This window comes from Homo sapiens, chromosome 1 (assembly GCF_000001405.40).
Source record: "Homo sapiens chromosome 1, GRCh38.p14 Primary Assembly".
Lineage (NCBI taxonomy): Eukaryota > Metazoa > Chordata > Mammalia > Primates > Hominidae > Homo > Homo sapiens.
In genome coordinates, this window is record NC_000001.11 from 233,969,191 (window position 1) to 233,986,367 (window position 17,177).

The 17,177-nt window shown below is 44.0% G+C and overlaps 1 protein-coding gene across 1 annotated transcript in view, besides 1 other annotated feature; it reads left to right on the forward strand.

The window, feature by feature from the left end:
• SLC35F3 (solute carrier family 35 member F3) overlaps positions 1-17,177 on the forward strand; it is a 419,836-nt gene that overhangs the window by 64,515 nt on the left and 338,144 nt on the right. The window lies entirely within an intron of this gene.
• Positions 4,244-4,446: a silencer, noted in NCBI's record as "fragment chr1:234109180-234109382 (GRCh37/hg19 assembly coordinates)". NCBI's record gives its function as "represses an EF-1alpha promoter that drives an FKBP-Casp9 reporter gene in an ReSE screen in both phorbol 12-myristate 13-acetate-treated (for megakaryocytic differentiation) and untreated K562 erythroleukemia cells {active_cell/tissue: K562 | K562(+PMA)}" and the evidence as "EXISTENCE:reporter gene assay evidence [ECO:0000049][PMID:32094911]".

The window sequence follows — 17,177 nt, forward strand, 5'->3', positions numbered from 1 at the left end:
TCCTCCATGCCGATTTTGATCTATTTCTCCTGAGATGTTTCCCCTTCCACGAAGACCAGAGGATCTAAAGGGGCTATAGGAATGGCTGATTTTCAATGGGCAGAGAGTTCTGTGCAGTGGCCGCGTGTGCGGTCATGATGGGCACTGTCGGTGGAGAGCTGACATGGTGTGATCATCAGGAGGTGCAGCTCTGGGGGCTGCCATCTGCGGTGCCTCCTCATCTTAGCGCCTCCCATCCTTTGCCCTTCTTCTTTCCTTTCTTCTCTCTGGTGCCGTTCCTGCCTTAGTGTGGCCACCTCCTGTCTGTTCTCCTGGTGTTCCTGCACCTCTGTTGGGCAGTGAGAGGAAGATTAGCTGTTTGAAATCTCTCTGTGTAGCTCCCCTGCTTCTTCAAAGAAAAACTGTCACATAAAAGTCACAAGTAATTAAGTCTGGAATGTAGACTGCAGCACAGGGCATTGGGCCTAGTGTTGGAAGGCATGGCTCGTTCGAATGACTGCTAAGAAAGACCTGAAATAGTAATCGTATGAAAAGATAAGTCTCTGTTTTTCTCTCACTTCACGTGAGTTCCATAACTATGCAAGCCAAGGCTAGTAGGGTGGTGCCATGAGATCCTGTGAGATGCAGGCCCCTCTTGTCTGTCTGCTCCACCATCGAGGATCCTGGATTCTGAGATCTGGTCATCACACCTTCCCTCCAGGCAGGAGAAATGGCTGGGGAACGGGGAAGGATTCTCTCTCCTCTCTGAGTAAGGCTCCCTTCCAGAGCTTCCTGGGAGCCCTGACCAATGACTTCTGCTCCTGCCTCATCGGATGCCCTCTGTCTAAGGGAGGCTTGGAAAAATACTTCTAGTGGGACAGTTTGCTACCTCTCAGCAATGCAAGGGTCCTGTTTGAAAATAAAAGGAGGAAAGGAGATGATGGGCAAGCACTGGTGGCCTCTGCCACAGCCTGACCCAGCCTTATGGTGACACCTGGGACTGGTGCACCACTAATTGTGTCTCCTCCTGTCTGCTGGATGGGCATCAGAGTTAGCACCCGGCCACCTTCTGGGGGTCTTGGGAAAGGGAACAGTGATGGGAATGCTCAGTGAGTTCTTCAGAAGAAGCCACCCCCTTCAAGGGTCTGTGATCCAAACAACGGCAAGACCCACAGCCTGAGGATGGATCAGACCTCGAGTCTCACCTGTGCCTGATGCAGATAATATTACATGAGATTTTGGGCTTAGAGTTGATGCCAGACTGGGTTAAGATTTGAGGGCTTTTGAATGAGGTGAATGTATCTTGCATGAGGAAAAGGACATGAATTTAGGGGGCAGGGGGTGGAGTTTGATAGGCTGAAATGTGTCCCACCTCCCAAATTCACTTGCTGAAGTCCTAACCCCTAGTATCTCCGAACATGGCTATATTTGAAGACAGGGCCTTTAAAGAGGCAGTTAAATTAAAATGAGGTCATTAGGGTGGGCCCCAATCCAATAGGCCTTGTGTCTTAATAAGAAGAGAAAATTTAGGGACAGAGACATCAAGGGAAGACTATATGAAGAGACAGAGAGAAGACGGCCATCTGCAGGCTAAGGAGAGAGGCCTCAGAAGAGACCAATGCTGCAGACACCTGGATCTCAGCCTTCCAGCCTCCAGCAGTGTGAGAGCATACATTTCTATTGCTTAAACCACTGTTTATGTGGTTCTTTGTTATGGCAGTCCTAGCAAGCTAATAAGGATTTTAGACTGTGTTCAATTCCTAAACTTGCAGGATACTCTTTAGCTGGGCTTATTCAATGGCACTGAATGAGAAGAATTGTTTTGTTTTTATCTTTCTGTATGTGGCTAGCCTCTTCACTCATGTCTAGACCCTGACACAGAGGCAGAGTGTTGAAAGCCAGGGACTTCCCTTCTGATCACAGGCACCATGAGCCAATGTGCAGAATTTGCTTCTGAATCTGAATGGCATTGATATACATCTGACTGGGGTGCACACATACCCTCTCCTCCAATTTCAGAGTCGTCAGCCAAGTAAAGGGAGCACTGGCTGCCCAGAAGGGAGAGGCCCCTTTCCAGACCCACTTCATCACAGTTCCCTCCGACTAAAACTGAACCTCATTACGAAGGAGAAGAACCACTTCTGAGAGCTGTTGGTAAACAAAATTTTAATGTAGTGTCTGGTGACAGCAAGGAAAGAGAGGAGGAAAAAACTGCTCTTCAGGTCAAATCCTATGAAAATAAGGACAGTTATCAAAAGATACCCAGCTGGGCGCGGTGGCTCACGCACAGGCGTGAAATCCCAGCACTTTGGGAGGCCGAGGCGGGTGGATCACAAGGTCAGGAGTTCAAGACCAGCCCAGCCAACATGGTGAAACCCTGTCTTTACTAAGAATACAAAAATTAGCCAGCGTGGTGGTGGTAGCCTGTAATCCCAGCTACTTGGGAGGTTGAGGCAGAGAATTGCTTGAACCCGGGAGGTGGAGATTGCAGTGAGCCGAGATCACGCCACTGCACTCCAGCCTGGGTGACAGAGCGAGACTCCGACTCAAAAAAAAAAAAAAAAAGATACCCAGGCCTCCTCTGCTGACTCCCTTGTGGTCAACAATGGGACCACGGTTGACCAAAGACCAGTCTTATTAGCTGGGCATCGACTGCATGAGAGGGAGGCTGAGGCACATACTGGAAAGGATTGACCATCCACTTACACCCTGCATGGCCCAGGCCTGTCACCCCTGAGGGGAAGGGACATCCCCCGCTGCCCGAGAGCTCAGCCTACAGCGTGCTGGCCTGCACAATGCCTCAACCTGTGCCAGTGCCGTGTGTGTGTCAGGGACCCTGGAGGTGAGGGAGCCCCAGCAGCTGGTGGCTGTCACTCCCCTTTCACCCATGGCTCCTCGGGTAACAGTATTTGAAACAATGTACAAAAGCTATTTGGCCATGACAACTAAGGTTGCTGGCTGCAAATGTGTGATTGTCTGTTTGAAATGAGAACAGCGTGGTGGATTGTTTAAGCCCATGAGCTTTGGTGTTAGACTGCTGGGCTTCAAATCCTACCTCAGTGTCCCCAGGATTAAACAGGTGAATTGTGACGTCTAGGTCAAAGGACTTATCTGAACATTAAACAGCATAATATGTCAAGAAGCATCAAGCATATTTTACATGATGGCTGAAACATTATGAACACTCAGTAAATGTGAGCTCTTTATGTTTTATATATATGTATGATATATTTCCCTGTTCCTAGATGGGTATAAACAGTGAAGAGTAATGATTAAGAGCACAGCTGGGATTGAGTCCTAGCTCCACCTTCTATAGCAGTGTGACTCCTCTCTGTGCCTCAGTTTCCTCATCTTGAAGATGTGGACAGTGCTGATATTACCTCACATGGCTGTTTTGAGGAGCAAATGGACCAAACCATGCACAGCATTTAGGATAGAGCCTGGCACATGGCGAGCCTGGTAAATCATGGTTATTATCATTATCATCATCATCATAATTATTACAACAGATTCAGAGGAGAGGTCAAGATGGACAACGAAGGCCTTTTTCTCATTTCTCTGTTCAAACATTACTTGGGTGTATGAGGCATCGTGATGACTTACATACATTGTATAATTTAATTGTCACTCAAGTCTGATAGTTGGCTGTTTTATTTATTTTAGAGATGAGAAATGTAAGATTCAGGCATTGGGGCCATTTCACCATGTCACTAAGTAACAAGGCTGGAAATCAACGGCAGACAGCCCTGACCCAGGGCCACCTGAGCCCACTGTGCCTTGCCCTTCCCCTGTCATATTGGTCCCCACTGTGACTAAAAGAGGAGCCCCAGGCTCATCATAGCTCTGTGTCCTCATCTGACCACACTTCTTGTCTCTGGCAATAAATATGCCTGAAGGCAAAAAGACACTGTCCCCTTGGGTCACGATAAAATCATGTGACTCAGCAGCCACATCTGCAGGGTGCATTAGTCATCAGAGGCACATGGCTCCCATGTCCCCTGTAGAGTCGAGAATAATATATTTTGGTGCTGAAATCTAGGGTCTGTGAGAGCCACAGCTTGCAAAGCAGAGCCCCAGGACTTGACTTCACAGTCTGGGCACCTCTAGTGGTGAAAGGTGCCATGGAAAGCTGAGCAGTTACAAGGAGGGGAAGACAGATTCCCCGGGTCATTTCAAGTAGGGGTCCAGGAAGACCATGTTCAGGCACATGAGGTGGCCCAGTAATCCCGCAATCTTGAACAACTTGGGGATCGAGTATGATATTGCAAAATGGAGTCTGATGGCATTGACTGTAAATACAGATGAGCTTTCAGAAATACTCAGACATTAACGATGCTTCAGCTACTTCCCAGGTTCTTGGGAGGAATTGAGGATGCAGAGTCTTGTGAGACATGGTTCCTGTTGCTGAGAAGCTTATGAGTTAGATGAGAGGCTGAAGTCTGTAGGTACAATTTATAACCGACAAAAGGCTAAGCGAGATGTATGCACAGGTCTCTTTGGCCACGTGGGTGGGGAAGCAAGGCAGACACTTCCACTGAGGTGTGGAAAAAAAGCACAAATGCACGTGGTCACATGGCAGAGATAGAGCAGCTTAACCTTAATCTTAATGAAACTTTTATTAGCATTGTGAACAGGTTCAGCTTTTGCTGAAACTGGTAATTTCTAAGCATAAATTTTTTTTCTTTTCTTTTCTTTTTGAAACCAGTGCAGACTGTCCTTGTATTACTTAGCTAGTCAGAAGTCTGATTACAGACTTGGCTAGACAATTGATTCTGAAGAAATAATTTTAGCCTATCTAATACCTTCATACTGATTTTTGATTATTTCTCCAAGCCTCTGGCTACATGTAAATCCATACTGATGACTTGGTACGTTTGCTTATTGAATAGAAACTTTATCTGATGGCAATGTTCTTTTCGTTCCCTGAAAACGTTAGTTTTCCAGGAAAAAGCTAAACCCACTCTTGGGCAGGAGACTATTACATTCCAGGATGTATTTCTATTTCTTTTTTTTTTTTTTTTTTTTTTTTTTTGAGATGGAGTTTCACTCTTGTTGCCCAGGCTGAAGTGCAATGGCACAATCTCGGCTCACTGCAACCTCCGCCTCCTGGGTTCAAGCAATTCTCCTTCCTCCGCCTCCTGAGTAGCTGGGATTACAGGTGCCCACCACCACCCTCGGCAGATTTTGTATTTTTAGTAGACGTAGTTTCTCCATGTTGGCCAGGCTGGTCTCAAACTCCTGACCTCAGGTGATCTGCCTGCTTCAGCCTCCCAAAGTGCTGGGATACAGGTGTGAGCCACCGTGCCCGGCCTCTATTTGTTCTCTAATAAAACTAATTTGAGTGATTATACTGGAAACCAAATTGTGTTCTTCCTCCTTGAGCAAAGTCAAGTTTTCTCATAGTGGCCCAGTTAGCACTTCCTTTCATTTTAATCTACTTTCTACCCATTTGCTGTTTCTTATGTCTTTGTTCTCATCAACTCTTGGGATTGATTTTCATAGTTTCGAAGCAGTGGCTCCATGCTCTCCACAAACATGTCAGTGACATGAATGTACTAAACGTGCAGCAAAGACATTTGAGTTTTCTCAAAAGTCAGAGTTTTGTTCATTTTTTGTCCCAGAGAAACTGAAAAGAGGGATTTGGACATTTACTATGCACAAGAGATGTAGACCTTGATTATTCTGAGATCATAATGTTGGAGGGAAACGTACCACATAACGTAATGTTGGAGAAGTAAATGGAATCAGATTCTAACCTGTGCATAACAAGGTGCAAAGCTCAGAAAGGCTTAGAGAGAAGACATCAAGATAAGCTATGTAGTTCAGGGACACCCCTGGGCATGGAAGGTGAGCGAGGCTGCAAAGTAGAGGCTCTGAACAAGTGAAGACCATCATCTACAGAGAAGCCAGAATGAAGATTTCCAGGCCCCATTCCCAGAGAGTCAGAGTCAGGAAGTCAGGCCTGCGGCCTAGGAACCTGCATTTTAACAACTGCTCTGTGCCCTTCTTATGTAGGTGGTCCATAGACCATATTTTGATAAATACAACCTTACAAGGTAGTTAAAGGGTTTCTGTGGATAAAATAAGGGGCAGCATTTTGATGTTAAAAACAAGCACCCAGCTGGAAAGTCATAGACCCCTGGTAGTTGCTAATGGCAGAAAGTGCTCACTGATGGAACCCTCCATGTTACTGAGCCAGAGCCCTTAGGGGACCTTGGAAAACCAATTTTAGTATGCCATAACTGCGGAATACCTTTCTCCAAGAAGCTGAAATAACCTGTGTCAATCACGGCCCCGTGAGTCTGGCAGATTGTGTTTGGGGGGAGAATGAAGACAAGTTGCTCTTTCCCCATTTGACAAATGAGGAAATAATGGCAGCACCAGAGGGGCCGTCCTTGCCGACTGTTAGTGATAGACATGATATCCATGATGGGACTCCAAGGGCACTTTGTGGTGGGAGAGGGGCGCTGCTGTGGGCAGGAGCGTGGTTGAACGGGGAGCAACAGGCCATCCAGTGAGGAAGTGGCTGGGAGCTGCTGCCCAGGGCGACATGCGTCGGCCAGCACCCAGAGTGGCCACGGGAGGCTCAGGAAGTTCTCAGTACCCGGAGCACATGTGCAGCTCGGAGGTGCAGGTTGCCAGGGCAGGGGTGGAACTGGACAGCCCTTAGACCTGCCTGTACTGGCTTTCTGCTCCTCTGTTTCCAGAAAGGACTTGAAGATGTGCTTCAATAAATGACCCAGAGGTGTACACACGTATGGTGTGTGTTTTATATGTGCGTGAGTTAGAGATGGCATATCAGGGCCATGAGAAAGAGGAAGAAATAAGATAATCCTGAAACGTAAGATCATTACCCTTAGTGAACCAGTGCAAAAAAGAAAATATGCTGGGTTATATAATTTTTGTTATGAAGAAGGCGAAGGAGGAGGAGGGAGGGAGAAAGACAGAGGAGGAGGAGACAAATTTTTAAGAAAATCTACATTTTTATGGCACAATGTTTTTTAAGTAGCCTGGCTCTTTATCATAAAGATACTATAGTCTCCTTGTAGAAAATTTTAAGATGGCATGAAAAGATAAACAAGAAAAAGCAGAAATTGTCACTGATCCTACTACACAATATTAAACACAGTTCACATTTTATTCTATTTTTAACAACTCCTTTCATTTTTCTTTTTTTATCCTTCTTACTATGGTAAATTGCAGGCTTACGCAAAAGTAGGGAGCAGAGTAGAGATCTCCCATATATCCAGCACAACTTCAGCAATAGTCAGCGTTCTGCTGTATTTTACTAGCTTCTCGGCTTCAAACTATACATGAAGATGTACCTGTTGTTTTCTCAGTGTGTGTCCTATTTTGAGTTTACTTTTATTGCTATGTCATTTAAAAGTATCTGTAAACAAAATCTGTAATGTTGTGCATAATTTCATAGTATGGTTGGTACTCAATTTTTTTTTTTCTTGAGATGGAGTTTCACTCTGTCACCCAGACTGGAGTGCAGTGGCACCATCTCAGCTCACTGCAACCTCTGACTCCTGGGTTCAAGCAATTCTCCTGCCTCAGCCTCCCAAGGAGCTGGGATTACAGGTGTCTGCCACCACGCCCAGCTAATTTTTGTGTTTTTAGTAGAGACATGGTTTCACCATGTTCGTAAGGCTGGTCTCAAACTCCTGACCTCAGGTAATCCACCCACCTCGGCCTCCCCAAGTGCTGGAATTACAGGCGTGAGCCACCATGCCCGGCTGGTACTCAATTTTAAAGAGAAGTTATCATCCAAATGTGATACTGGTAGCCTTTTGACAATTGCTCTCACTGTGGGTTTACAGCAAATACAGAAGCCAGCTCTGGGAGACCTTTCTCAAAGCATCCTTGTTAAAGTTAAAGAGTAGGACTTTCAAATGTCACCTGGTGAAAGGGGCTCTGCGCATGCCCTTCAGGTTAGCTCAGCCAGCAGTGTCCCATCCACCCACCTCCCCGTGGGTCTGAGAGTCAGGCTTCCATATTGCAGCCCTGCACCTGCTTCTCTCTGGGCTTGTGTTTTGGAGCCTGGTGCTTCCCTTAAGTTGTTGCAAATATTCTTTTCTCTTCCTGCGATAGCTGTTTCTTGCAAGTAATTTTATTAGAGAGTTGAACAAGTCATCCACCTCCATATGCTTATGGGATTACAAAATTGCAGCTTTGTCTTTTAGAAGAGAAAATTCACAGAGAAGGCAGGCCTTTGTAGTCACAGCTCTCATATTAAAGAAGCAAGGGCTCAGAGTTCAGCTCTCTCACCTCCCAATGTGCCAGAGTACCTGGTTCTGGTATCATCTGATAGAGTTAGGGGACAGGGAGCTGCACGTACAACAGTGGCCTTGCTGTTGGATTCTCTTTTTCAGGATTGCAATCATGAAGTATCTACTTCATAGTATTTCCTGAGGGCTACTCTATGCTATATATTTTAAGTATTGTTGCTATGTGCTGATAAATTGTACTAATATCCTCATCATCCATGAAACATTTTGGCCACTTGCTTGCATAAATTATGGCATCAAGTCTGTCTTGGGACTGAAGCCCTCAACAGCAGTTCAGATATTTGCTTATTAAGTTGCCCATAGTATTGCAGGTGCTGCTCTGCGCTCAAGATGCAGATACAAGTCTTATAAGTCTACCAAGCAGGACTTCTGGCAAAGTAAGCAATTGTCAGGCCAGGGCGTTTGGACTCGGTGAGTGGATGCTTTTTGTTTGACATGGAAAATTAGGAGAAGCCTGATGACCTCAAACAGAAAGTGGGAAGGAGCTGTACCTCTGCTTTATGCAGGTTCAGAGACGACAAGGGATAGCAACTCATAGGTTTCCTTCTAGGCCATACCATCAGGTGTCCGGAAGCTATCCCTGCATCCAGTAAAGTATTTCTGCAGGTTGCTGGGATGTCCCACGTGCTTGACTCTGGGGAAGTTGATTGAGGTTGCTGGAGGCTAGCAGGTGTTTGCCACTGGAGGAGGCAAGGCTCTGAAGAAGGAAAAAAAAAGGTAGTAAAGGGAGACAGGACAGAGCAGAGAAACTGGGTTGGCAGTGGCTTGTTGAAGGTATCCAGCACACCGCGCTGTTTTTGGCCACTATCAATCTACATTGTTCATGCCACACTGAGGTTGTATGTGGAACCACTGCCTGATTGCATGAACGTGATTCAATTGCATTGATTTCTTATTTTACAAAGAAGACTTCTTAAAGGCGTATGTAATGACGAGGGTTTTATTGGTTCTCTTCTGCACAGACTTGTGTGTAGAATACATTTGTTTTCCAAAGAACCTGGTTGTTACCTAAAGCCACCCCATATTACAAGGCACTAAAACAGATGATGACTATAATGACAATAAACAGCTGAAGTCTTCCTAGACAAAACCTGATGCTGGGACTGCGGCTGCAATCCAGGATCCCTGTGGGGAAGAAAGTGTACCCTTGTGTGGGTTTATGAATAATTTTCTACCAGAGAGCTCTGCTCCTGATGTCTTGCCACTGCATCATTCATGGTGTTTATAGGATGTCACCTCTGATCTCATCCAGAAAGTAAGGGAAAATAGTTGTTAAGGATTAAATGAAGTCAGGTGCGGTGGCTCACGCCTGTAATCCCAGCACTTTGGGAGGCCGAGGCGGGCGGATCACCTGAGGTCAGGAGTTCAGGACCAGCCTGGCCAACATAGTTAAACCCCCATCTCTACTAAAGATACAAAAATTAGTATTTTTAGACCTGGTGGTGGATGCCTGTAATCCCAGCTACTCGGGAGGCTGAGGCAGGAGAATCGCTTGAGCCTGGGAGGCAGAGGTTGCAGTGAGCCGAGATTCAGCCATTGCACTCCAGCCTGGACGACAGAGTGAAACTCCGTTTCCAATTAAAAAAAAAAAAACAAAAAGCAAAACAAAACAAAAAAACAAAAAAGAAAAAGAAAAAGAATTAAATGAAATGAACAGTGTGATTCAGGGCCAGGCCAGTCCACAGAACGTGGTCTAAGAAGACTTGAATTTCAATTCTTACTTACACTGCTCCTTTCTGTGCTTCAGGAAGGTACCTGGCCTCTCAGCACCAGTTTTCTCATCTGTAAAATGGGAGAGCTGGTTCCATCTGGACATTCAAGTCTCTCTTCACGTTAGGGGATTTTTAACTCTGCCAAAATGATTAGAAAAGCAATTTGAGTTTAAGGCCCACAGGAATAATAAAAGCAGGCATATGGTGAATTATTCGGGCCGAACAGTACCCAAGCCTTTCAGACAGCATGATATGAAGAGAAAGGACATTTTGTCCTTATATTTGGCAGCCTAACTTTGTTCGCTCGCTTCTACGAATGACAGCAGTAGGCTCATTCATCTTGCAGAGACCTTACCCAGGTGGACAGATGTTAAATAGCGTGTGCTCTGTGGATAGATATATTGCCTCGTCATTGGATAGGTTAGGTCAAAGCAATAAAATAGGTGGGAACTGCTTAGGCTCCATGCACTGTTTTAAAAAAAACTTTCAGCAACGGATAGCTGCTCTTCATTCAGACTTTCACTTCTTGCTCCTGGGGTTAATGCACTGGGGCCACCTGCTTCTGTAGGTGAGTGGTTATGGGTTCTGAACAGGCTGCACCGGTCTGATGCAGAAGGGTGATATGTAGCCACAGGCATATGAAAATTAAAGAAACTCCATGGGAACTCCATCTGGTTCCGTCGTTTGATAGGTGAGGGAGCCCGTGGTCGTGATGGCATAAGTCTTGTCACCATCAACTTCAGGTGACCTGGTGAGGCTGAGGTGGGTTTGGGCAACCTGAAAGCAGACAGGGCTGTCACCCCTGCACCTGATCTCCACCAGTTGTGCCCCTCTAAGATATAGCCAGGCTTCCTGGCAGGAGGTAGAGAGGACTGGTATGTTTGAGTTCCCACTATGCGTGTTGTGTGCCAGCTCTGCCTTTGCAACCATTTCTTTTAATCTTTACCACACACACAGCCTTGTGAAGAACATAGAATATGCCCTTGAAGGATGAGGAGGACTTTGGTGTTGGGAAGAATGAGAAGAAATTACAGATTCTCAATTCAGCAGATACTTATTTTGCATCTACTATATACCAGACCCTGTGTTAGGTCCTAGAGATTCAAGAGCAAGCAGCCTGGCTCTCAAAAGCCTCACAATACAGTGTTGATGATGATGATGCCAACGACAATGATGGCCCATAAAAAGCCCAGGACTTAAAAGGCAGAATGAATTAGTGCCCACCTGGGACTTGGCCTTGGTCTCTTCTCCGCATCATGCTACTCCCACTGCAAGGCCTGTGTCTCCCCAGCCCACATCCCTTGCAGGGACTTTCTGACTCCCCCGTGTTGAGCATGCTCAGGGTTATTGCTTTCTAGAAGCCTAAACTGCCAGAATTGGCTCTTCTTCTGGCCCTCGTGGGAGAAGGCAAGGTGCGTGACTAAAGACTGAGGGCACATCTCGGTCTTTAGTGGATTCTCAGCTTGAAATAAGCTGAGAATTTCCAAACGGAATGATGTTATATTTTCATCTTTGTACCTATGTGAAACTGAATTTTTAAAAGAATGATGATGATTTTGTTAATACACTGAAACAAGTGAGAAATTTGAGCTCCCTTCACATCGTACTGTCAATTGTGATAATTGATAGTAATCATTACTATTATCAAATAATAATAGGCAACATTCATTGGGCATTTGGTGACAAGCATTGTCTTAGCATGTTTAATGCATTAACAAATCTAATCCTCATGACAAATCTACTAGGTAATATTATTTCCCTCATTTTGAAAGTGAAGAAACTAAAGCATAGATAAATTAGTTCATTTTTGTCCTCCTAACTCACACACATGGGAAGTGTCTGAGTTTTTATCTTTTAATTTTGAAGTAATTAAAGATGGATGGAAAGATACAGAAAGAACAGAAAGAGATACTGTGTATGCCTCATTCAGTTTTCCCCGCTGGTAGCATTTTACATAACTATAGTACAATATCACAACCAGGAAATTGACTTGGGTACAATCCACAGACTTTATTAAGATTTCATCAGTTTTATGTGTACGTGTGTGTGTGTGTACTTTATGCATTGCATAATCAAGACACAGAACGGATCCTTCACCACAAAGATCTACCTCATGCTGCCCCTTCACAGTCACGCTTACTCCTTTTTCTGCCGCCTCTAACCCTACACAATCACTAATCTCTTCCCCATCTCTATACTTCTGTTATTTCAAGAATGCTATACACATGGAATCATATCGTATAATCTCATCTTCTGAGACTGGCTTCTTTCTCTCAGCAGAAGGTCCTGGAGATTCATCCAAGTCACGTGGTGCAGGATCCTTGCTTTTTCTTGCTGAGCGGGATTCAACAGCGTGGATGTGTCACAATTTGTTTTACTGTCTACGCATTGAAGAACATCCATGTTGTCTTAAGTGTTTGGCTGGTATGAATAAAGTTGCCATGAACATTCATGTACAGGTCTTTGTGTGGACAGAATTCCACTTTTCTCTGGAAAAAAAAAAAAAGCTCAGGAATGCAGTTTTTGGGTTGCGTAGTAAGTGTATGTTTAATTTTTTAAGAAACTGCCAAAGTGTTTTTCAAAGTGGTGGTAGTATTTTACATTCCAAATAGCAGTGTGTGAATGATCTCATTTCTCTGCATCCTTGACAGCGTTTGATGTCATTGCTATTGTTTATTTTAATGTTCTAGTAGGTACGTAATAATATCTCACCATGTTTTTAATTTGCATTTTCCTAATAGCTAATGATGTTGAACGTTTTTTTGTTGTTGTTGAGACAGAGTCTCCCTCTGTCGCCCAGGCTGCAGTGCAGTGGTGCAACCTCACTGCAACCTCCACCTTCCAGGTTCAAGTGATTCTCGTGCCTCAGCTGCCTGAGTGGTTGGAACCACAGGCTTGTGCCACCACGCCCAACTAATTTTTTTAAATTTTTAGTAGAGATGGGGTTTTGCCATGTTGGCCAGGCTGGTCTCAAACTCCTGGCCTCAAGCAATCTGCCCGCCTCGGCCTTCCAAAGTCTTGGGATTACCGGCATGAGCCATGACGCCCAGCTGTGATGTTGAACATACTTCTGTGTGCCCATTTGCCATTTAAATACCCTCTTTGGTGAACTGTACTATCAGTCCACGTCTTTTGTCCATTTTTAAATTGATTTTTAGATTTTTTTAACTGTTCAGTTTGAGAGGTTTTTTTAAATTTATTTTTATTTTATTTTATTTTTTGACATAGTTTTGCTCTTGTTGCCCAGGCTGGAGTGCAATGGCATGACCTTGGCTCAGTGCAACCTCTGTCTCCCGGGTTCAAGTGATTCTCCTGCCTCAGCCTCCTGGGTAGCTGGGTTTACAGGCATGCGCCACCATGCTCGGCTAATTTTGTATTTTTAGTGGAGATGGGGTTTCTCCATGTTGGTCAGCCTGGTCTCGAACTCCTGACCTCAGGTGATCCGCCCACCTTGGCCTCCCAAAGTGCTGGGGAGAGTTCTTTATATATTTTAGATATGATTCTTTTGTCAGATACCCACATCTTTTTTTTGTTTGTTTGTTTACTGACTATATGCAAGGCACCGACACAGCACCTGAGGATTTGGCAATGAACAAACATCATTGTCCCTGCCTACACAAAGTTTATTCTCTGATCGGGAGGGAGACGTTAACAACTACCCTGTTAGAAATTTTTAGCTGTGGTCATAAAGGATTCTGAGGGAGAACTGTGGGTGCTATGAGAACAGATGATGGCAAGAGGGACCTTGCCTAACCAGGGGAGTTGGGAACCCTGGAGCTGAACCAAGATCTGAAAGAGCAGGATATGACCAGGAGCAGGCGCGTGCCAGGTGTGTGCCAGGGGCAGGTAGGAGCGCAGTTCCTGTAGCTCTCCACGTGGCTGCACGTCATCCCCCTGCTCTTACTAGAAGCTCATTTTTCATCCCTGATAAGAAAGTGCACCAAGAACAATAAAGAAACCACAGAACTTTGTATTCATCTTTGAGATCAAGTCCTCCCTCTGCCGCCCTCCCTCTCTATCTCTCAACAATCAGAAAATACATTTCAAATTTTTTGCCATCATGAAACTTGTTACATTAAGATTAAAAAAAAATTAATTAAGCCAAAAGAAGGACTATTTGTTTCCTTTATTACACAATCCTTCATCGAGCTCGGGAACAAGTACCTTATTATAGGAGGAAGGTGGTAACTTCATTTACAACAGAATTGGATTCATAAATAATATCCTCCCTACAAATTTAATTTTGAAAAATTGAGTAATTTCATAAAACATCTACAATCGATTTCTATTTGTGCAGTACCCCCACAGAAGCATAGCAAAAGGCAAGAGTATAAAACGTGAAAAATATCTTTGATGATTTCTGTTTAACTTTTATCCTACCTTTTACAGATAGAATTACTCCAAGTGTTTCCTCTATTGTCAGTTTCTTAATTTGCATGCGAAGTTTAAGGTTGCAGATTTCCTTCTTCCCTTGCTAGCCATCATTACCAGCTAGCTCCTTTGGAAACCACTTCATCAACAGAATTTAAGATGATCAGTGTCCAATATACATAACTTCAAATTAAAGTGAAATCTCCCACTGGTGTTCTCACTGTAAAAGCAATAAATAGGGACCATTTCTCTCAGTCAAAATTTTAGAAGCAAATAAAAGAGCCCCATGAGGCGGCATATCTGAGCATTTGTGAGTTTCCTTTGGATTTGGAATCAGTGCTTCCTGAACTGAACTAAGACCACATGGTATGACACCAAGATACAACGTTCTAATCAAGACTATGCCGGAAAGCTCAGGAACTAGGATTATCATACCCAACGCATTTGATTTGCTAGTCACTGTTGCCCCAACCACATCCTGCGTTTTCCCTCCTCTCTGGCCTTGTTCAGGATATGTTTCTCCTCTATGCTTTCATCAGGAGAAATTAGATCAAGATGAAGCGCATAGGTGCTTGGTCCCAGGAAGGTATTTTCTTCCCTAATGTTGGGATTCAAAAAGCTACTCGGCTCTTCTCTTTTGTTCACCTAAGCTCACCACAATATGAATATTCCTGCACTGCTGCCTCTGTAAGATTTGGGCTAAAACCCAAGAAAAGCAACAAGTATTTTGAAAGTGTTATAGAACTGAACTGGGGTCCACTACTCCACGGAGTAGGACCAGATATGCACACCGAGGTTTGCAGCAGTAGAAAGGAAGGTGTTTCTTTGCAAAGCGCCAAGCAAGGAGGACCAGGCAGCTGATGCTCAATCCTGACCTCCCTGATGGCTTGCAAGTAAGAGTTTTTAACGGGATGGGTAAGTTTTAGGAAAGCAGAAGCCACGGGCAAAATTGCAAATCAATACGTGGAGGTTACACATTGGCTCTGGCCTGAAAGAGCGGAATGACTTGAAGTGAGGGCTTACAGGTCAGAGGTAGACTCAAAGATTTTCTGATTTGCAATCACTTAAGGAAGAGAAGCTTTGTTTACAAATTTGGGGTCAGTAGAAAAGAATGTTGTCTCTGGCTCGTGAGTGTGACTCCCTCCAGGACCCTCAGGAAGAAATTTAGAACAAAGAATGGCAGTCAGAGTTGCGTCCTCAGTTTCCCCTTAGCTGAGGTCTACAGGCCAGTGGATGTCTTTGGTGGGGGTCTAGGATTCTGAAGAGCAACCCAGGGACATATGTTAAGATGTTATCTTTAATTTCTATAAGAAAACCAAACATCCCATGATTCTAGCTTCCTTGGTTATTGTTTTAAGCTGCTATCATCTTCTTGTTCATCAAGTTGCTTATTTATTTCTCAGGACTAGCTAGGTGCCTGGAATTTCCTGTAAAGGAAATCAAGATTTTCCTTTATTTTCATGCAGGGGTTGGGGGGGTGCCCCTAAGAGGGGTCCCTGCTCCATCTCCAAGGTGTAAAATGTCATATAAAAGGCTGGTAATGATGCTGATGTTCTGGTGGTGAGGTCTGCTCAACGGCCCTTAAAGGACAGAAAGAATTCACTGTGAATTCATCAAAGTTTCTTTCCTAGAAAATCAGTGAGACCCCTCAGTGGCATATGTCGTCATATCTTCTGATTCCAGATGAGATTCTCCCTTCTGAAATAATAGCGTTTACCAAACAGCACACAGTAGAGTTTAAAGAGAAAAATTGAACAGAGCAAAACTTGTCATGTAGCTTCTGTTTGTGCTCCATGCAGAGTCTTTTTGTAGGATGGATTAAATATTGCATAAATTGTGCAGTCATTTCTGCTTTTATCTGATCTTATTTTTATTGAATCTATAGCTGAAGAATCTATCAACTGTTTCCAAATTTAGAGATATGGAAGACTGATTTAAATCTTTAATTTCTTAACATGTCATGTAAGTGTGCAGTAGTCTTGTGACCATTAAGAAAAAAATTCCACTTTGATTCTTGGAGCCGCTTGAGACCCACACAGTTCTTTCTCCATCTAATTCTAATTACAATCATTGGTACGTGATGTAAGTTAGTGAGAGTACATTTTCAGCACAGCCTTTCAGCAATCTGCCTTTCTTTAGACATTCTGGGGGTGCTTTATTGGAACGTTTTAAATGACCATGTTGGATAATTCTCTAAGCTAAAATCATCCACAAAAGTATAAGACAGAGAATACTGGAACCATAGCTGTCCACCAGTCTTTATGTGGGTGCAGACTTTGGGAAAGTTCCTGGTCCTGCCTGGAGAAACTTCCTGCAGAGGTTGATGAACTTTTAATCAAACAAACGTTCTTGTTGTAGCTTTTAAGTGTCTTCCTTTGTAGTATAACAGAGAGTTGAAGATTGAAGGCTCTGGGCCCAGGCTGTGTGGGTTAAAATTCTGCTTTTACTGCTTCCTAGCTGTGCACCCTTGAGCAACTTACTTAAGGTCTTTGGACCTTAGTACCCTGATCTTAAAAATGTGTATTATAACAATAGCACTTAGCTCATACAATTGCTGGGAAGAGAAAATGAGTTAAATCATGTAGAGTGCTTCAAACACAATATATATGCAGTAATGTTAGCTATTACTCTTACATTCTGCCCTTATTAGTCTGTTTTTGCATTTCTTTTAATTTTTATTTTTATAAAATAATACATGTATCTTTCTTTTAAAATTTTCAAATAATTCTTTGAGGATTTTAGGTTTTACCCAACTTCTCTCCACCCCAAGTTCCCACTTATGTGAGGCTGCCACATTCAACTCTCTTCTTCTTTTTTCTGCTTT